Below are 22,038 nucleotides of genomic sequence, written 5' to 3'. Positions count from 1 at the left end.
GACTGATAAAGCTGGAAAATGACCAGTGAAAAAAAAGCAAAAAACAATTCCTTCCAGAATGTAACCAGTTTCTTAATCGTATAAGTGTGTGTGTGTGTGTGTGTGTGTATAATAGCTGTTATTATATATATATAATAGCTGTTATTATATATATAATAGCTGTTATTATATATATATACATTTTATAGCTGTTTCCTGATTCTTTTCTATGTTATTCATATACAGTCTGAAGTTCACATTATGCACATTTTAATAAAAGTATATGAGCTGAGTCTAATGAAAAATTTTTATATGTGTCCTATACACCTGTATTTGCAGCTAAGTATTATTTTTGTTTTTCAAACCATGTCATCGTACCAGTTAATGTGCAATTTGTTAATCAGAGAGATTTTTTCCACCTTTTTTCATATTTTCTCTGAAATGATCCTTGTTTTACAAAAGGAATATTATGAACTTTCTAAATTAAAATGTATATATAAATCTTGCTAGACTGGGTGTGGCCAACATACAATGTGTAGTCTGAATTCCTTAGCTGCCTTATGGTCTACTATAGTTACTTTTCACAGGTGGCATTAGATCTTTCTAGTGCAGGTCTCATAGCAACACAGTAGGTAGTAACCTATGACATATTCTTAAGATCTTTTATATTGCGTATAAGCCTTGGCTTGCTTAATAAAACGAATAAATTCCATTTTCTATATCTTTAAATTTCTTCTGCATCTTAGCAACTGTATCTTAATAATTTTGTCTGTTTTCTTTGGGCATAGAAGTCTTAATGGTATTATCCTGATTCAATCAATCAGCACTTGAACACTAACTATAAGAAAGATGTGAGCTAGGATTTCCAATTAAATGCTATAGCATTAATAAGAACTGTTTTTTCAAAACTCAAAGCTTTGCAGTCTTATACAAGCATGTATCCAGAGGAAGCAACCCTACCACTTAAAGGAAGCTATATTCTTATGTGAAAATTTTTGACTATCAAATAATATCAAAATAATGTGATCTTGGAGGGCACCCATCTTGACTTTCTTCTATTAGAGAATAAGAAATCAAGTCTTAGGAGAAAAAAGTGGGTTACACCAAACAATACTAAGAGATAGTGGCAAAATAATAGAAATGTGTTTTCCTAATTCTGGGTTGCGTGCTGTTTTTACCTTACTACCCTGCATCTCTTTGACTCAGTGGGGTTATGCTTGGTGGCAAACCAAGCATAAAATTTTTATTGTCTTTCTCACAGCACGGCACTCATTTTGGGTGGGGAGGGGCAATATGCAGATACTATTTTAGACTTTTTAAAATATTATTTTAAAATGGCAACAATGTATAGCCTATTACATAAAAAATGTCATAAGTTGGTAATATAATTTAATCATTCATGCATCCACAAGCCATTTATTAAGTTCCTGATCTGGTCCAGTAGTGCCAGGCTCTGGGGACACAAAGATGAAAAAGACTTGCTTTCCTGTTTTCTATGAGCTTATGGTCCAGTGGCAGTTAGAGGACATTAAGCTTAAGACTACAAAATAGAAACAAGTGCTAAAACAGAGATATATTGTGTATCCAAATAAAAGGTCCATATAACCCAGCTTGAGAAAGCTGTGGAGCAAGCTGGTGACAGAGCATTTGTCGTGAACCATGACAGATGAATGGGGATGTGTCGCATGAAGAAGGAGAAGGTGATAAGAGCAATTTTATCCTTCTTATTGCTCAGAACACACACCCTGGAGACAAGAGGGATTCTGTAAATGGAAATAAAGGATCTGGATGAGTCAGAAATGGAAAGGTCTGGAATAGTGGGCTATAAGATTGCAGCATAGGTTGAAAGGTCTAGCACACGATCGTAGGCGTGGGTGTAGAAAACTTGTGGAGATAAAAGATTACTTCATATTTTAAAAATCATTTCTTCAAACTCAAGAACATCTTCAATATGCATTTATTGAAAAGATATATCTAGTTGCTCATAATATGCTTACCATTTATCTGAGTTCTAGAGGTACGGCAATGAGCACGATATAAAATCCATCATCTCAGGCAACTTACAGTCTAGTTTCAAACATGGGAAGCAGAAAACAAACAAATATCTAACACGTTTATTTTACTTACTTATATCTTCTGTGAAAAAAAGCTTGGTAAGTGGAAGGAGAATGATTGAGGAGTGAGAGAGACCATTTCAGGCAGATTGGTAAGGGAGATCCTAATATTTGAGCAAATTTCGGAATGATATGAAGATCAATGGGAAGAGTAATCTAAGATGAACTAATGGCAAATGGAAAGGCCATGAAGCAGGAATAATCTGGCAGATTATTTTGCCAGAATACAATAAAGAGAGAAAAGAGTAGGAAATGATATAAGACAAAAAGGCAGGGAACAGATATTGTAGTTTCTTGTAAGGCATATTAAAGTCTTCAGATTTTATCTTACATGTTATGGAAAGCCACAGCAGAGATTTAAGCAGTAGTGTGACTTGAATGATTTATGCTTTTAGTTGTAATTGTGGCTCATGTGTGGTCAATAATTAGTAGCAGGGCAAGAGTGGAAGCACAGAGATGACTTGTAAACTACTACTTTAGCTAATGGGAGATGGTCACTTAGACTTTGGATGGTGGCAGTGGAGGTGACAGAGAAGTGGAAATACATTAAAAAATATAATTTGTTTTAAATATTTTAAAATAGACTTTAAATCTATCATGTAAAGATACAGCCAGAAAGATCTGGTCATGTTTTGGATGAGACCTATCAGGGGGAAAAAAAAATGAAACAAGGATTATTGTGAGAATTTTGGACTGAATATTTATCCAGGCAAATGATGGTACCATTTACTGAGGTGGGAGAAATTGTGGGAAATAGAAGAGCCAATAAAGAGACCAAGACTAGGTAGACCAGGAGGCGGGAGGAAAATCAGAGAAAGCCACATGATCAGTTTCAACAGAAAGAGAGTCATCAACGGACTTAAGTGGTATTTCAATGTTAAGTAAAATGAGGACTAAATTAATTATTGAATTTATCGAAAGTATGGGTAATATGATCTTTCCAAGAGGGTTTCCATGGTCTGATGTGAAAGAAAGACTGATTATATCAGTCTCGAAGGGAGAGTAGGAAGAAAAAAAAACGATTTTTCTTTCAAGCCATTTTCTTTCATCAAAAGTGATGGCGTTTTCTATTTTTAAAAGGGCAATCATTACAATGTATTTGTATGCTGATAAGAATGATCCAATAAAGATGGATTTGCCAATAATATTTGTCAATTATGGCTTCACAAGAGAACTGTGCCTATGGTTTGTTGAATTTACATTGTACTGCCTCAGTTATATTATATATTCTGATTATCGTAATATACAAATTATATCTTCTTGCATTCTTTTTTTTTAACAGTTTTTTTTGAGACAGGTTCTCACTATGTTGCCTAGGCTGGTTTTGAACTCCTCCTGCCTCAGCCACCCAACGTGCTGGGATTACAGGCATGAACCACAATGCCTGGCCAATTTTTTGGTGGAGATGTAGTCTTTTTTTTTTTTTTTTTTTTTTTTTTTTTTTTTGAGACAGGGTCTCGCTCCTCTCCGTCACCCAAGCTGGAGTGGCTGGAGTGCAGTGGCATGATTATAGCTCACTGCAGCATCAACCTCCCAGGCTCAAGTGATCCTTCCACTTCAGCCTCCCAAGTAGCTAAGACTGCAGGTGTGCACTACTAAATCAGGCTTTTTTCTTTTCTTTTTTTTTTTTTTGATAAAGATGGGTGTCTCCCTATGTTGCCTAGGCTGCTCTTGAATTCCTAGGTTCAAGCAATCCTTATACCTTGGCCTCCCAAGTTACTGAGACTACAGTTATAAGCCATCACATGTGGCTTGAATTCTTAATTTTAGAAACTTGAGTTATTCAAGTTTGGTTTATACTTGGAGTGTTTAGACTAAGATAGTTTAATGTTAAAAATTAATGCAACATAGTACATTAAGAAAAGGCACCAGAAATAATAAAGAATAATTTCAATAAAATGAGCTATATAGGAATAAATTGTAATTCCCCTATATATGTGTAAAAGAGTAAAAGAACTTCATTATAATAGAAGGTTCAAAGAATTAGTCACAAAATATTAGAATCTTTTTTTTTCATCAGAAAGAGAAATGCTTATAATCACTGTTTCTAGTCAACATTATGTTGGGGTCTTAGTCATTAGAAAAAGAAAGTAAAACATAATAATAATAATCATTATCATTATCCTAAGAATTGTAGAGAAGATGGGGAGCTGATAAATTTTCAAACCTGTTAGAAAAGTCTACAGCTTAAAAAAGATTATTCAATATAAGAACAATATACAAAAATCAATTATATTTCCAATAATAACTAATGAGAAAATACAATATTTTAAAAATAGAATTTATGATGTAATAAAACAAAATCTCACAAAATATATGCAAGAACTTATTGGGAGAAATTTAAAACTTTAATGAATAATATTAAAGAAGAATCACATAAAGGAATATTCCATATTCAAAGACTGGAAGAATCAATAACTTAGTATATAAATTAATTCCATTTTCAATCATAATCCCAATAATTTGTGTGTGTATATAAATGTAATTGAGCAACTGGTGGAAAAAATTTGTATTTAAGAGCCAAGGTCTAAGAATAGCCAAGACATTGTTGAAGAACAATGCAGAGACAATTGGCCTATCAAGAATCATGATTAAAGCAGGTTTGGTACAGGCACAGCCAATTAAAATAATGCAACAAATTTTTAAAAACTTAAAGCAAAGTCTGTGTATATATGTAAACTTGACATAAATGCAACCTGTTGTCAGATATTTATGAGAAATTTAAAATTGTTTATTCATATTGAAAAAATAAAATTAGATCCCTGTCTTTAACCCTACATAAAAATTGTTCCAGATGGATTCAAGGCCTAATGAAACACAGACCTTCAAAATCCATAGAGGAAAGCACAAAATAACATTTCTATTATTTCTTTTTTTATTGGAAACGGAGTCTCACTCTGTTGCCCAGGCTGGAGTGTAGTAGCGAGATTTTGGCTCATTGCAACCTCTGCCTCCTGGGTTCAAGCGATTCTCCTGTCTCTGCCTCCCAAGTAGCTGGGATTATGGGTGCCCACCACCATGCCTGGCTAATTTTTTGTATTTTTAGTAGAGACGGGGTTTCATCATGTTGGCCAGGCTGGTCTCGAACTCCTGACCTCAGATTCCCAAAGTGCCCACCTCGGCCTCCCAAAGTGCTGGGATTATAGACATGAGCCACTGCATCCGGCTTTTTCTATTATTTCTTAAAGAAAGTGTAAGAAAAGCACTCTAATGGGAGAAATGGGTACATATGGTTTTGTTAAAATTCAGCTCTCTTCTTCATCGACATGCCATAAAGAATGTGAAATTTTAGGCCACTGAGTAGAAGAGATAATTGTAAGATATATGTCTAACAAATATTAGTATCCAGCTACATAAAGAACTTCTACAAGTAGTTAACAGAAACGGAAATAACGCAAAAGAAAAATAGGCAAGAAACATAGACCAGTAATTTACAAATGGGTAAACCACATGGTTAATCAACTCAGGGAGATGCACATCTTCACAGTAACCAGGGAAATACAAAGAAGAACTACAATGAGGTTTTATTTTATGTTTGTCAGGTTGGCAAATACTTAAAAATGTGGCTGTATCCAGAGTTCTTGAGGATATGAACACCTATACCCTGATTCTTGGAGCTATTTTGGAAAATAATTTGGAATAAAAAGTAAATATGAAGATGAGAATATCCCATAATAATAATTATTTCTAGTTATATATCCTAAAGGAATTCTTGAACATTAAATATTTTGTAAATATTGTTTGCAATAGTAAATAAAAACAACATAAAAGGCCAGCCGACAAGAGTGGAAAATAAGTTGAGCTATGGTTATACAATTGTTATAAAATATTTGAAAATAAAACAATTAGAAGTATATTTATGAAACATGAGTGAATTTCAAAATCAGAACATTGAGTAGAAAATGCAAGTAAGAGGAGCATTTAATGCATGATGTCACTTTTGTAAAGTTTAAGAACACAGATATCAATAAAATATTCTAAGAGTTGAGAAAGGAGAGTAGAATTAGAAAATGACATAAGCTTGACTGGGTGTGGTGGATCACGCCTGTAATTCCTGCACTTTGGGAGGCCAAGGCGGGCAGATTGCCTGAGCTCAGGAATTTGAGACCAGCCTGGCCAACATAGTGAAACTCAGCCTCTACTAAAAATACAAAAATTAGCCAGGCATGGTGGTGCATGCCTGTAATCCCAGCTACTTAAGAGGCTGAGGCAGGAGAATCGCTTGGACCTGGGAGGCAGAGGTTGTGGTGAGCCGAGATCAGGCCACTGCACTCTAGCCTGGGCAACAGAAAGACTCCGTCTCAGAAAAAAAAAAAAAAAAAGAAAGAAAATTACATAAGCTTTAATTTTATATTTGAAATTATATTTCTTAATTTGGCTATTGGAAACAAACATGAAATATTCCATATGAAAGCAAGATGTATCTTATTTCAGGTAAACTTTATATAAACATTCAGATTTATAAAAGAAACTAACAAATACTGGTCATTTTATAAGAGCTATGTGTACTTTCCTGAATAACTTACAAAATAATTTCTTAGTTACAATGTCTAGTTATTTAAAGTATTAACTAACTTCTACAAAATTGTTTAGAAAACATTCAGGCAAAAAGACTCAACATAATGTTAGATTATGATGCAGTGTTTTTTAGTCATTTGTAAGAGGATCCATTTGAAACTTTCATCTGTCTTCCCGGTGGATAAGTTGAAGACCATATATTTATAGATAGTTTTGTTTAGAAGATCAATAATTATGATCTCCCTGACATAACTTATTAAAAATTGGCTGTCATTGTCTTTTTTCACCCCAAATATGCAATATATGAGAAACACTTCATGCATTTTTGTAAGCCTAGACTCTGATAGGAAAGGCATCTCACCACAGCACGCTGTGGTAGTTTGAGGCATTCCATAATGCCAGCTATGTATGCAGTTCAGGTAGCATCAGCAGCTTTAATCATGTGTAGAGAAATAAGGTATGTAAAGCAGATGGAACTCTGTAGGGAACACTGAGGAAATGAGCTCAAAGTGCAGATTATGTTCTGCAGGTGGTGGAAAATAGTGATTATTTTTAAGCTCACAATTACAGCCCAAAGATGGATGACAGATGAAGCACTGTGAACAAGTATAAATAATGACAGACCATTCTCACCCACATGAAGAACAATTTGGAGCTCATATGTGTCTTTTTTTGTAGGAAAGCATTAGCCATTTTCTAGGAAGAAGGATATCCGTTAATGTTTTTATTCCATTGTAGAGATGTTAAAATCCTTTTAAAATACAGCTAGAGTTACTGACTACATTTACATCGATACTTAGACAAGCTAATCTTCCCTTTCCTTTTTCACTCACACTGGGTAGGGATGTGGTTTATGTGCATTTGCTAGTCAAGAATTCATCTGTGTGGCAATAAGGAGTCTTCTAACCTGTGTAGCAAGGAGATGTTACTCTTTGATTCTTGTTGCTTGTAACAGTAATTAGATTTTGATCTTGAATTCAAACTTGGAGGCTAAGTAAATGTCATCTTGGATCCATGACTGACCATTCCTGAGGAACCTTAAAGAGAACGCTCCCTGTTATTTAAGGATACTTCATAACGTATTGCTTGCTCTTCATTAAAAAAAAAATCACTCCTAATATCTACTACACCACACTGACCTAACTGTGGTTCAAATATGCTAAATGGGCCAGGCGTGGTGGCTCATGCTTGTAATCCCAGCACTCTGGGAGGCTGAGGTGGGCAGATCACTTGAGCTCAGGAGTTTGAGACCAGCCTGGGCAACACGGCAAAACTCTGTCTCCACCAAAAATACAAAAAATTAGCTGGGCATGATGACGTGCACCTGTGATCCTAGCTACTTGGGAGGCTGAGGTGGGAGAATCGCTTGAGCCCAGGAAGTAGAGGCTGCAGTGAACCAAGATCATGCCACTGCACTCCAGCCCAGGCAACAGAGCTAGACTCTATCTCAAAACAAACCAACCAACAAACAAACATGCCAGATGCTCCTGTTTTAGGACGTTTGCCTGGGCTGTTTCCTCTGACTAGAAGATGCTTCCCCTAAAACTCCCCTGGGCTAGCTCTCTCATCTCTGTTTGGCCTCTATTCACAGGGCACGTCCTCACTGAGGCCCACCCAACTGTCCTGTTTAAACATATAACCCACTCTGCATTTTACCTTTGAGGGAACTAAGAAAATACCACCCCAAAATGTGCCACTGTGGCATGCTGGTTGCTTCAAACTGAGGGCACCTGGAGAACAGCAAATGCAGTGAGGAGCTTTTTCTGAGCTCCCATTACCGGCCTTAGGAAGGATCCTTCAAAAGGAACTCAATTGTCAAGAAATCTTTGCCCCAGTAATCTCACCAACCAGAGAAGAAAACTTGGATCACAAGAGACAAAAAGAAACAAACAAACAAAGAAAAAAAACCACTTGAAAACTACAACACCCTTAAACTTTACTCAGAATATTTAAGTGGAAAAAGTTGACGGGTCTGTACAATTTTACAATATTGCCTAGGATTTCATACAGAAAATCAATTATTTACATTATAACATGCTTTAGTTGTAAATCCGTGTTTATATTACAATTGCATAGCTTCAATTTCAACATGTATAATGTAAATTTAAAGTTTTTATAAAGGCAACTATAGTAAATTTAAATAATGACTAATTTAGCTTTACAATTTGCTCTGAGGGGAAAAACACACTGATTGTCCTCACCCTTCACACCAGTACCACCACCACGACAACAAAAAACAAGAGGGGAGCCTGGAGGTGAACCCTGCACTCAGACTATCCCCTATGCTCTGGGCCATTTGTCTTTCCCCGAATTTATTTACTCTCCCCTAAATTTTGACTATATCCACTCTACCTTCTTCCCTGGGAAGAAGGTATATAAGCTTCAAAATCTCACTGGCCTTTTGGGTGTTCAGGTTTCTCTCCAGTGATGTCCTCCTGTAGGTAACAAATTTGTGTGTCTTTTCTCCTGTTCATCTGCCTCCCTTCAGATTATTTCGTACACTCACTCATCAAACCCTCAGAGGATAAAGGAAAGTCTTCCCACCCCTACATCACCTCTATTTTTTCCTATAGCACACATCACCTTCTGACAGTCAACAATTTCCTCCTTTGTGATGTTTATTTTGTATTGTCTGTCTCCCCCACAACCTTAATTAATTAATTAATTAATTAATTGAGACAGAGTCTCGCTCTGTCACCCAGGCTGGAGTGCAGTGGTGTGATCTTGGCTCACTGCAAGTTCCGCCTCCCAGGTTCACACCATTCTCCCGCCTCAGCCTCCTGAGTAGCTGGGACTACAGGCACCCGCCACCATGCCTGGCTAATTTTTTGTATTTTTAGTGGAGACGGGGTTTCACCATGTTAGCCAGGATGCTCTCAATCTCCTGACCTCGTGGTCCGCCCACCTCGGCCTCCCAAAGTGCTGGGATTACAGGCGTGAGCCACCGCGCCCGGCCCACCACCTTCTTAAAGGGCAATAAACTCCAGGATGTCAGAGAAGTTTGTTTGTTTGTTTGTTTTAACTTTTGCAGATTTTATATATTGATGAATCTCTGCTACCCAGAACAGTGCCCATTAGTCTACAGAAGTTCAATAAATATTATGCCTGTCAGGCCTCTGAGCACAAGCTAAGCCATCATATCACCTGTGACCTGCACGTATACATCCAGATGGCCTGAAGTAACTGAAGAATCACAAAAGAAGTGAAAATGGCCGGTTCCTGCCTTAACCGATGCCATTACCTTGTGAAATTCCTTCTCCTGGCTCAGAAGCTCCCCGACTGAGCACCTTTTGACCCCCGCCCCTGCCTGCCAGAGAACAACCCCCTTTGACTGTAATTTTCCACTACCTACCCAAATCCTATAAAACGGCCCCACCCCTATCTCCCTTTGCTGACTCTCTTTTCGGACTCAGCCCGCCTGCACCCGGGTGAAATAAACAGCCTTGCTGCTCACACAAAGCCTGTTTGGTGGTCTCTTCACACAGACACGCGTGACAGTGCTGATAATACTCCTTAACCCTTTCTTCATTTTGTTTTCCAACAGATATCTCTCATTATCATCAATGATGATTCCTATAAAACATCCATTTGAAATGTAGTTGATGGCCAGGTGTGGTGGCTGATACCTATTATCCCAGCTCTTTGGGAGGCTGAGGCAGGAGGATTGCTTGAACCCAGGAGCTTGAGACCAGCCTGGGAAACACGGTGAGACTCTGTCTTTCCAAAAAGTAAAATAAAATAAATAATAAAATGTAGTTCATGGGGTTATAGATCCTACCAGATAGCTCTGTAACAGTAAGTTTAAAAAAAACACTTAGAAAATTTTTACAGGTAAAACAATAAAAGTAATATTTGAAATTATAGACCCCTGTGGAATTTGACCTTTACTTACAATATTTATAAGATACTAAACTGCAAAGACTTTTCACAGAGCAACATAAAAGTATGTGTAAGGTGCAAGGTACTTCTTAAAACCATTGTGTTTTTTTTTTTTTCTGAGATGAACAGTAAGATAATAATTATTCTATGGTAAGTGTACACACTGTCTCCTTATAGGGCAAGCAGAGTCGTGAGCATGGGAGCTTCCATTTATTGAACAATGTGCTTTATTCCAAGCACTGTTCTAGGCCTTAAGCACGTGAAGATGAATAACAAATTTTATGCCACCAAAGCTAGTGGGAAGAAGATACACAAAATAAGTAATTATGGTCCAACCTAAAAATGTAAACGTTCATTTTCAGGCACCTGCTAGGGTCATCTAAATAATGAGAGGCAGCATATAAATAATAAACACATTTATAACCTACAACAAATTATTTATGCAATATTTTAAAAAATTCTTTAGTGTTTAACTTTGTAAAATTTTTATTATTGTTGGGGAATTTTATTTTCAGTTAGCAGTTAGTTTAAACTTAAGTTGTACCAGGCTAACCTGAGAGATTATGCTCTTTCTGACACCGTTACCTGAAAAGCTTTGATGCAGCAGAAAATATACAATTGAAAAGGACAGGAGGATTCCCTATTAACAGGCTAAAGTCACCTAAGATGGCGCTGCCTTTCATGTTGACCCTAGTTCACATCACAGTCTGTGTCTTCAAACATGGGAAGATTAAACACATCCAAGCAATTTACATCCTTGGGGGCACTGCGGGCTGTGTTATATGTGACTTTCCCTTGACGGGGTTGTGACCCTTTCTCATTGCTTCCAACCCAGGAAAAAGACTTAATTAAAGACTCTTTGATGAGACAAAAGATATTATTTACATTAGAAAGAAGAGAGAGAGAGAGAGAGAGAAAGGAAGAGAGACAGAGAGAAAGAGAAAGAGAAAGGAAGGAAATGTTGGGCCTCACAAAACAATACCCCACAGTGTGGTGCCTTGGGATGCTGAGTGCCTTGAACTAAAGGTGAACCAAAGTCTCTCTGATCTTCTGTCCCGTTTCTTGACCCCTTCTCCCAGAAGGGCAGGGAGGGGCTTTCTCTGAACTTCCCTTGGAAGAAAATTCCCAAATAATCAGTCCCTGGAAGTATTTAATTTTCCTCATTGACTCAGTCTCTAGTCACTGCAGCAGCCCCCATTGTGAGGAGCCTTAGCAACACAGTCCGACAGATCACTTTCCTTAGTGAGGATAATTAGCTAGAAATAGCTTTTTGGAGAAAGAAAACCTTGAAGATAGCACAGTTAACATATTCAAAGGGACTAAAATTGGTGTTCTCAACTTTAATTTTAACAAAAGTACAAATGCATTTGGTGATTTCACTCATTAAAAAAAAAATTCTCTGTGAGGCTTATCAAAATATTCAAGTGCCTCTAAATCCAGCAAATTCTGCCCCCATGCAGGACACTGCCACTCTGCTTTTGCTTAGTCCCTTAGGTCTCAGCTTCAAAGCACTTGTCAGAAAATACCAATCACTTCCCAAAACCGCAATGCAAGGCCAAGCGCAGATCAGCTGTCCATTTCCGTATGCTTCCCTAACAACCTATGTTTATGTCTGTGTTTGCATTTATCACAGTGTCTCTGTAACATATTTGTTGTAGCCACTACTCTGTTAAGGTCCCTATGGGTGCCATTTTCACTGTTTAATCCTTATTCCCTTACAGGTTATCTGGTATTGGTACTCTAGTGGTCAATAAATACTTGCTGAGTTAATGAAATAAAATTAAGAATAAAAGATGTAAAGGTGCCCTGCTCAGCCATCTGGTCACCTGAAACCCAAATAGACATAGATAGTTTAATGCTTAAATAGGATAAATCATCATTTTTGCCAAATGCTAAGCTAGCAAATCTCTGATTTCGGAATTAAAAAGATTTCAGCAGATCCTCCAAGGGGAAACGTTCAAGAAAATAAATCCGTTCCTTAGCACTTCACAGGAAGGCAATAAAGTGACTATCAAAATTATCTTGTTTGTCATTTGCTTTTTCAGTATGCTGGCAACACTAAGGTGATTCATTTATGGTAAGTGATGATTATTTCTGTAGCCTAAAACATTACCACCCTTACTTAGGTAAGTGAGAAAGTAAAGCTTCTGAGTTTCTATTATTATTATTGTGAAATAAAGTACTTTTTGAATTGTGCTAGAAAAAGTCATCTAAGACTTGGAAATGGGCATAGGGATGTACTGTACGAACAGCTTAGTGAACGGTGAACAGGCTGTTTTTTTTGGTTTGCTTGCCTGGGGGTTACCTGAACCGTTGTTAGACTTGCTACTCACTATTATGGGAACAACAATCACAGGAGGCTCATGTTATTTACATTAGAAAGAAGAGACACACAAACACACACACACACAGAGAGAGAGAAAGAGAGAGAGAGAGAAGGGAAGAGGGACAGAGAGAAAGAGAAATAAAGGAGGTGCTGGGGTCCACAAAACAATACCCCAAAATATGATGCTTTGATATCCTGAGTGCCTTGAACTGAAGGAGAACCAAGTTCTCTCTGCTCTTCTGTTCCGTTTCTTGCCCCTCTTTCTCCCCCAAAAGCGCAGGGAGAACCTTTTTCTGAACTTTCCCTTTCTAATGAAGGGCAGGTCCTCTGAAAGAAACACATTTGTCATGAATTGTCTCTCTGGGAATCTCATCAACTAGGGAAGATGGATTTATATCACAAGAAGGGCGGACACCATGCCCAGATTGTGACTCAGACTCGCACCTATTCTTCTGAGGGCTGCTTGAAGACAACTTTTATTACCAGAGAGACTTTATCTGCATGACAAGGTAACCTTTGCTCGACATGCATTTCCTTTCCTCACCTCACATAATTTGTGTCACCACCACCCTTAGAAGCCTCAGGCCCCTATTCCTTTCTGTAGCTCAGGATGTTATATAAGCTTCAGTCATCGAACACATTTTCCAGTCCCATATTTTGTGGGACTCCATGCATTTGCAGTAATTAAAATTTCTGTTTCATGTTAATGTGTCTACTGTCAGTTGATTTCATAGGCTCAATTATCAAAAATTCAGAGGGTAGAAAGTTTTTTCATCCCTATAGAAGGAAGGAAAAAAAAGAAATGGACAATGATCAAAATAATTAATGCTAAATGATCTAATACAGTCTAGAGGCAGTAGGTATAGTAGGAAACGATGCACTTGAGGTCAGATGATTTGGGGATTAAATCTGCTACTTTGCACTATGAACTTGGACAAATCACTTGAAATATCAAGGCCTTAGTTTCCTGAGGTAAAAATGGAGTATCAGACAAAATGGGCTAGGTCATTTTCATCTCTAAAAGCTGAAAATGTCATTTATTCATTGATATTTGTTTCAGAAGCATTTATTGAAGACTATTATGGGAATAATATGATGTCTATTGCAACCTATGTGCAGTGAGCAGATCTGAATTCCAAAGAACACATTATTGAAGGCCTCAGAGTGAGCCACACATGAGGGTGGTTTTCAGAGTTTGCCTGTGTTGCTCTCCACAACATAATGCAGGTGCATTCCAAGTACACAACATGACCCCCTTGTCTAAATTTCAGAAGTGCCAGAGTTGCTGGATTGGTTGGTTCCATTATTTACCCTCTGATAGTACTGCTAGAGTGGCATCTCCCCTTCTAAAACAACAGAGTTTCCACAGAGGTAAATGAATTATGCTTCCTATTCCAAATGAAGAGCAGAGAAGCAAAGTGGGTGGGGCAGAGAAGTAGCAGGCTCCAGATGTGGGGCAAGAGATTAGCTGAGAACAACCTGTTTTATCCCAAAGGAAGAAACAGCAGACAACGAAGGTCATGTCATAAATATTTAAAAACCAACTGGAAGGTACACCCACTGGCTGAACATGGGACAATGTGATCATGAATAAGAGTAACAATTGCAATAGACTGTTTTTTTCTTGTAAATTTGTTTGAGTTCTTTGTAGATTCTGGATATTAGCCCTTTGTCAGATGAGTAGGTTGTGAAAATTTTCTCCCATTTTGTAGGTTGCCTGTTCACTCTCATGGTAGTTTCTTTTGCTGTGCAGAAGCTCTTTAGTTTAATTAGATCCCATTTGTCAATTTTGGCTTTTGTTGCCATTGCTTTTGGTGTTTTAGACATGAAGTCCTTGCCCACGCCTATGTCCTGAATGGTAATGCCTAGGTTTTCTTCTAGGGTTTTTATGGTTTTTAGGTCTAACGTTTAAGTCTTTAATCCATCTTGAATTAATTTTTGTATAAGGTGTAAGGAAGGGATCCAATTTCAGCTTCCTACATATGGCTAGCCAGTTTTCCCAGCACCATTTATTAAATAGGGAATCCTTTCCCCATTGCTTGTTTTTCTCAGGTTTGTCAAAGATCAGATAGTTGTAGATATGCGGCGTTATTTCTGAGGGCTCTGTTCTGTTCCATTGATCTATATCTCTGTTTTAGTACCAGTACCATGCTGTTTTGGTTACTGTAGCCTTGTAGTATAGTTTGAAGTCAGGTAGCATGATGCCTCCAGCTTTGTTCTTTTGGCTTAGGATTGACTTGGTGATGTGGGCTCTTTTTTGGTTCCATATGAACTTTAAAGTAGTTTTTTCCAATTCTGTGAAGAAAGTCATTGGTAGCTTGATGGGGATGGCATTGAATCTATAAATTAGCTTGGGCAGTATGGCCATTTTCACGATATTGATTCTTCCTACCCATGAGCATGGAATGTTCTTCCATTTGTTTGTATCTTCTTTTATTTCATTGAGCAGTGGTTTGTAGTTCTCCTTGAAGAGGTCCTTCACTTCCCTTGTAAGTTGGATTCCCAGGTATTTTATTCTCTTTGAAGCAATTGTGAATGGGAGTTCACTCATGATTTGGCTCTCTGTTTGTCTGTTATTGGTGTATAAGAATGCTTGTGATTTTTGTACATTGATTTTGTATCCTGAGACTTTGCTGAACTCAAACAAATTTACAAGAAAAAAACAAACAACCCCATCAACAAGTGGGCAAAGGATATAAACAGACACTTCTCAAAAGAAGACATTTATGCAGCCAAAAAACACATGAAAAAATGCTCATCATCACTGGCCATCAGAGAAATGCAAATCAAAACCACAGTGAGATACCATCTCACACCAGTTAGAATGGCAATCATTAAAAAGTCAGGAAACAACAGGTGCTGGAGAGGATGTGGAGAAATAGAAACACTTTTACACTGTTGGTGGGACTGTAAACTAGTTCAACCATTGTGGAAGTCAGTGTGGCGATTCCTCAGGGATCTAGAACTAGAAATACCATTTGACCCTGCCATCCCATTACTGGGTATATACCCAAAGGACTATAAATCATGCTGCTACATACATGCACATGTACGTTTATTGCAGCACTATTCACAATAGCAAAGACTTGGAACCAACCCAAATGTCCAACAATGATAGACTGGATTAAGAAAATGTGGCACATATACACCATGGAATACTATGCAGCCATAAAAAATGATGAGTTCATGTCCTTTGTAGGGGCATGGATGAAATTGGAAATCATCATTCTCAGTAAACTATCACAAAGACAAAAAACCAAGCACTGCGCATTCTCACTCATAGGTGGGAATTGAACAATGAGAATACATGGACACAGGAAGGGGAACATCACACTCTGGGGCCTGTTGTGGGGTGGGGGGAGTGGGGAGGGATAGCATTAGGAGATATACCTAATGTTAAATGACGAGTTAATGGGTGCAGCACACCAGCATGGCACATGTATACATATGTAACTAACCTGCACATTATGCACATGTACCCTAAAACTTAAAGTATTAAAAAAAAAAAAGATGTAGGATGAACTGATGAATGTAAAATATCCCATTAATAAACTTTTATATTAATTGCCCATTGATGTGGTAATATTTTGGATATATTGGGTTAAATAAAATATGTTCTTAAAGTAAAAAAAAAAAAAAAATAGACTGAAGTACATAATGCCTAATAAACAAACATTAGGTTTCATTGATTGCCTTTGGAGAATACTAGAAAACAAATTTATTTTGAAATCTTATTAAAGAAAAAAATAAACACTTGTCCTATAATTCCTATAAAAATGCAGGATAATCATCTAGTTCAACAGGTAGCATTTTTTTTTAAGGGATAAATACCCCAACTGTATGAAGAACATCATGATTTTGCAACTGCTAATAATTACACTAATGGTCATCCATGGCTGCTAACACCACAAAAGAACGACAAGTAGACATTTGGACCTCTTGATGGAAGGATACTGCAACAATTATAAAATATTATTAACAAACAAATACAACATAAATTTCCTCAAATCTCTAGACCATACCACTGGGAAGATATCAGTTAACAAGACTGTAGGAAACACCACAGGCGGAAGACTTACTTTCTTTTACAAATAAACTTAAAATAGGGGGAAGAGAAACAGAGAAAGAAAGAGAGACAGAAAAAGATTGAATCTAAAAATTAAGAGACTTAAGAAGTAGATCAACTAATCAGTTTGTAGGTTACAATTCAATCCGATTGTACATAAAAAAATTACAGGACAATTAGGGAAATGTAAACACTGGATATTTAAAGACATTAAGAAATTTGTATTAATTGTTTCTAGATATGTTACTATGATGGTGTGTATATATATATATATATATATATATATATATTTTTTTTTAAGAGTCAATGTCTTTAAGAGATACATACTAAAATATACTTGTCAGGCCTCTGAGCCCAAGCTAAGCCATCATATCACCTGTGACCTGCACGTATACATCCAGATGGCCTGAAGTAACTGAAGAATCACAAAAGACGTGAAAATGGCCTGTTCATTCCTTAACTGATGACATTACCTTGTGAAATTCCTTCTCCTAGCTCATCCTGGCTCAAAAGCTCCCCCACTGAGCACCTTGTGTCCCCCACCCCTGCCCGCCAGAGAACAACCCCCTTTGACTGTAATTTTCCACTACCTACCCAAATCCTATAAAACGGCCCCACCCCATCTCCCTTTGCTGGCTCTTTTCAGACTCAGCCCGCCTGCACCCGGGTGAAATAAACAGCCTTGCTGCTCACACAAAGCCTGTTTGGTGGTCTCTTCACAGGGACGCCAGTGAAAATACTGATGTCTGGAATTTGCTTCAAAATAATTTCACAGGAGGGAGGAGACAGAGGTACAAATAAAACAACATTGGCTGTGAATGGAAACCTGTTGAGGCTGAGTAACGGGGACACAGGACTTTTACAGTGCTCTCTCCAATTTTGGATATGTTTGGAGGCTGATCACTCAGAAGAGAAAAAATCTACATTTCTAATAATGTTCAGGGGATTATTACAATTCATACTTATATTATGCCAGAAATTTAAATCTAATTTCTACCTCTAAATAAGAGAATGACTACCCTCATGTTATCACCATGACCTACATCACACTCATCAAATTTTTAGAAAATAGGAAATGATTACAGTAATCAATGTGCAATGATCAAATATAGTTTAGGGGTAGTGAATATTTATTTTAGGGACATAGTAGTAGGAGGGGGAAGGAAGAAAAGGAAAGGGAAGGTCAAAGGCAGGAGGAGAAGGGAAAGGAAAAAAAGGATATGAAACACAGTACCCTGCAGAATGTCCTCTATGCCAGAAAAGGTGGAGCAAAGGCAGACAACCAACAAGAGAGAGGGAACAAGACTTGGCAGAAATCAGAAAACAAATTCTGGCCCACCTCTTCTTGGCCCAGTCTTCCAGCTAAGAATGCTTTTCACAGGTTTAAATGGATGGGAAATCAAAGGAAGAATAATATTTCACAATACATGAAAATTATATAAAATGCACATGTCAGTGTCCATAAAGTTTTATTGGAACTTGGGCATGCTGATTTGTTTACAGGTTATCTCTGGCTGCCATTGCACTACAAAGGCAGAGTTGAATAGTTGTGGTAGAGACCGTGAGGCCCACAAAGCCTAATGTTACTAATATTATTTACCATCTGGCTCTTCAGAGGACATTTGCTGACCCCTCAACAAAAGTAACAAGCAAAAAAGCAAAAAGAGGAAGAAAAATACTTTTGCTCTGTAGAACTTTTAAGCCTCCTAGAATGAAACTGAGAAATGACAGTCAGTTCCATAGGAGTGATCAAGTTATGAGACAGATCAGTGGTGGATGAAAGAGGAGGATTTAACACGCCCATGACCAGGGTCTGTTCCAATTTCCTGCATGAGGAAAGCATGGTATTCTAAGCATAAAAGTACTTGACAACCATTTGTCATTTCTTGTTCAGGTATATTTAAATTCTGAAATGTAGTTATTTTATCAATTATTGTGAATAAGGTTGTTTTCAAATATTAAAAGCTTAAGAAACACTTAATGGTATTACCTGATATAACTGAATACAAGTGAACCCTCATACACTGCATTGAATAGTATCATCCCCAAATCATGTCCACCTGGAAACTGTGAATGTGATCTTATTTGGAAATAGCGTCTTTGCAGATGTAATCAAATTAAGATAACATGTTAGAGTAAGAATGAGCCTTAATCCAATGACTGGTATCCTCATAGGAAAAGGGGATCTGAACATGGACACACACATGGAGAATACCATGTGATGACAAGACAGAGACGGGAGGGATGCAGTGACATGCCAAAGAACTCAAGGATTGCAACCACCAGAAGCTGGAAGAGGCAAGGAAAGATTTTTTTCCCCAGAAACTTCAGAAAGAGCATGGCCCTGTGGACATCATTATTTCAGAATTCTGGCTCCCCAGAACTATGAGAGGATAAATTTCTGTTATTTTGTCACCTAGTTCATGGTATTTTTTTTTTTTTTTTTTTTTTTTGAGACAGAGTTTCACTCGTTGCCCAGGCTGGAGTGCAATGGTGCCATCTTGGCTTACCGCAACCTCCACCTCCTGGGTTAAAGTGATTCTCCTGCCTCAGCCTCCCGAGTAGCTGGGATTACACCATGCCGGCTAATTTTTTTTTTTAATTTTTATTTTATTTTTTTAGTAGAGACAGGGTTTCTCCATGTTGGTCACGCTGGTCACGAACTCCTGATCTCAGAGGATTGACCCACCTTGGCCTCCCAAACTGCTAGGATTACAGGTGTGAGCTACTGCTCTTGACCAATGGTACATTTTAATCTATCACTCAACTTTACACACCATGGAAGCGTTTAACCCCTGTTCTATGTTCTAGGCAAAAGACGGAAGCAGTGGAGAAGTTTTTACAACGTGGTCCTTATATATTGGGACAGTTTATTTTAGCCCAATGTATTAGTTCATTCTCGAGCTGCTAATGAAGACTTACCTGAGTCTGGGTAATTTATAAGGAAAGAGGTTTAACTGACTCACAGTTCAGCATGGCTGGGGAGGCCTCAGGAAACTTATAATCATCACAGAAGGGGAAGCAAACATGTCCTTCTCCACATGGTGGCAGGAGGGAGCAGTGCCAAGCAAAGGGGGAAAAGCCCCTTATAAAACCATCAGCTCTCATGAGAACTCACTCACTATCACAAGAATAGCATGAGGGTAACCGCCCCCATGATTCAATTAACTCCCACTAGGTACCTCCCATGACATGTGGAGATTATGGGAACTACAATTCAAGATGAGATTTGGGTGGGGACACAGCCAAACCATATCACCCAATGATAGCAGACATAAGAAAATATTCTTAGTAAGCTCACAGTGTAGGGCTTATGCACTGATAATCATAATCTCAGACATTTCAGAGGCTTACAAATGAGGATGCTGAATAGAAAGGCTGTAATTTCACCATAGAATACTATGCAGCCATAAAAAAGAATGAGTTCATGTCCTTTGCAGGGACATGGATGAAGCTGGAAACCATCATTCTCAGCAAACTAACACAGGAACAGAAAACCAAACACTGTATGTTCTCACTCGTAAGTGGGAGTTGAACAATGAGAACACATGGACACAGGGAAGGGAACATCACACACCAGGGCCTGTTGCGGGGTCGGGGGCAAGGGGAGAGACAGCATTAGGACAAATACCTAATACATGCGGGATTTAAAACCTAGATGACGAGTTGATAGGTACAACAAACCACCATGGCACATGTATACCTATGTAGCAAACCTGCACGTTCTGCACATGTATTCCAGAACTTAAAGTAGAAAAAAAAAAAAAGAAAGAAAGAAAGGCTGTAATTACAGGCAATGCCGAACTCAGAGGCCAAGTTCTTACAGAACCACAATTACCCCACAGGGGTTTGGCAGGTCTCTGGACTTTTGTTTTTCTATGCTGAAACCATTAATGATCTTAGAACTGCTCCTTCCCATTCCACATTCTAAGTGGTCCCAGCAACCCCAGTGTTTGCCTGACCTATTGCTGCTGGCAATGCCAGGATTGAAAGTACTGAGCATTGTTTCTGACCTACGCCCTTGGGAACTAAAGGGTGCGAATTGACTGGAGCAGGATATGGGTGGCTAGCAAAGAACCTGAAGCAGAACAAATGATCATATGATTGGATCCCCAGGACACACGTTTCCGAACTATCAGGAACTAACTTTGCAAATTTGAATTTCCCACTCTTACTCGCAACCAGCCCCAAGTGCTTTTTAAGAAAAGTGATGAAGGGGCTGAAGGATGGGGGATTTAGACATGTGAAAAAGCACTTCTCTGAGATGAGCTTGAGGTAGTTCCTATCTAACTCACATGTTATTGGTGGGAAATTCATTCATTCATTCATTCAATAAGCTGCTTACCATGGGCCCAGGTAATGGGGCTTGTTAGTGGTGAATAAAACAGACATGGACTTGACCTTCAAAGAATATCTTAAAAGATGAAACAGGGAAAGAGACTAAATAAGAATTCAATAGGATGGGTAATTTTCAGGAAATAAATAGATTTTAGTAAAAAATACCAACAGGAAGGATCTCCTTAGGGTGAACATGGACCGTGTCAAAACAATTGATATTTGAACTGGTCCTAAAAGATCAAAAAGTAAGTGATGGAGGATAAGGCTGGGTTGGGAGTGAGGGGCATGGGTAGGTGGGACAGGGGAAAGTTCTAGATAGAAGGAAGAGATGGTACAAATGTTACTGGAAAGGGATCCCAATCCAGACCCCAAGAGAGGATTCTTGGATCTCGCACAAGAAAGAACTCAGAGCAAGTCCATGGAGTAAAGTGAAAGCAATTTTATTAAGAAAGTAAAGGCATAAAAAAATGGCTACTCCATAGGGAGAGCAGCCCTGAGGGCTGATGGTTGCCCATTTTTATGGTTATTTCTTGATTATATGCTAAACAAGGGGTAGACTATTCATGAGTTTTCTGGGAAAGGGGTGGGCAATTCCCTGGAACTGAGGACTCCTCCCTTCTTTAGACCATATAGGGTAACTTCCTGACATTGCCATGGCATTTGTAAATTGTCATGACTCTGGAGGGAGCGTAGCAATGAAGACGACTAGAGGTCACTCCCATTGCATCTTGGTTTTGGTGGGTCTTGGCCAGCTTCTTTACTGCAACCTGTTTTATCAGCAAAGTCTTTATGACCTGTATCTTGTGCCAACCTCCTAT

At 38.1% G+C, this 22,038-nt stretch overlaps 1 protein-coding gene across 2 annotated transcripts in view, besides 2 other annotated features; it reads right to left on the bottom strand.

Annotated features, from left to right (window-relative positions):
- The window catches only part of CNTNAP2 (contactin associated protein 2), a 2,304,198-nt gene that overhangs the window by 802,182 nt on the left and 1,479,978 nt on the right, over window positions 1-22,038 (bottom strand). The gene's annotated exons all lie outside the window — the stretch shown is intronic.
- Window positions 10,772-11,324: an enhancer, noted in NCBI's record as "OCT4-NANOG hESC enhancer chr7:147304585-147305137 (GRCh37/hg19 assembly coordinates)". NCBI's record gives its function as "activates a minimal SCP1, AML or CMV promoter by ChIP-STARR-seq in naive and primed H9 embryonic stem cells {active_cell/tissue: H9 hESC(naive and primed)}" and the evidence as "EXISTENCE:reporter gene assay evidence [ECO:0000049][PMID:30033119]".
- Window positions 11,325-11,878: an enhancer, noted in NCBI's record as "OCT4-NANOG hESC enhancer chr7:147304031-147304584 (GRCh37/hg19 assembly coordinates)". NCBI's record gives its function as "activates a minimal SCP1, AML or CMV promoter by ChIP-STARR-seq in naive and primed H9 embryonic stem cells {active_cell/tissue: H9 hESC(naive and primed)}" and the evidence as "EXISTENCE:reporter gene assay evidence [ECO:0000049][PMID:30033119]".

Source organism: Homo sapiens, chromosome 7 (genome assembly GCF_000001405.40).
Source record: "Homo sapiens chromosome 7, GRCh38.p14 Primary Assembly".
In the NCBI taxonomy this organism is placed as follows: domain Eukaryota; kingdom Metazoa; phylum Chordata; class Mammalia; order Primates; family Hominidae; genus Homo; species Homo sapiens.
This window is presented reverse-complemented; position numbering and strand designations above follow the sequence as displayed.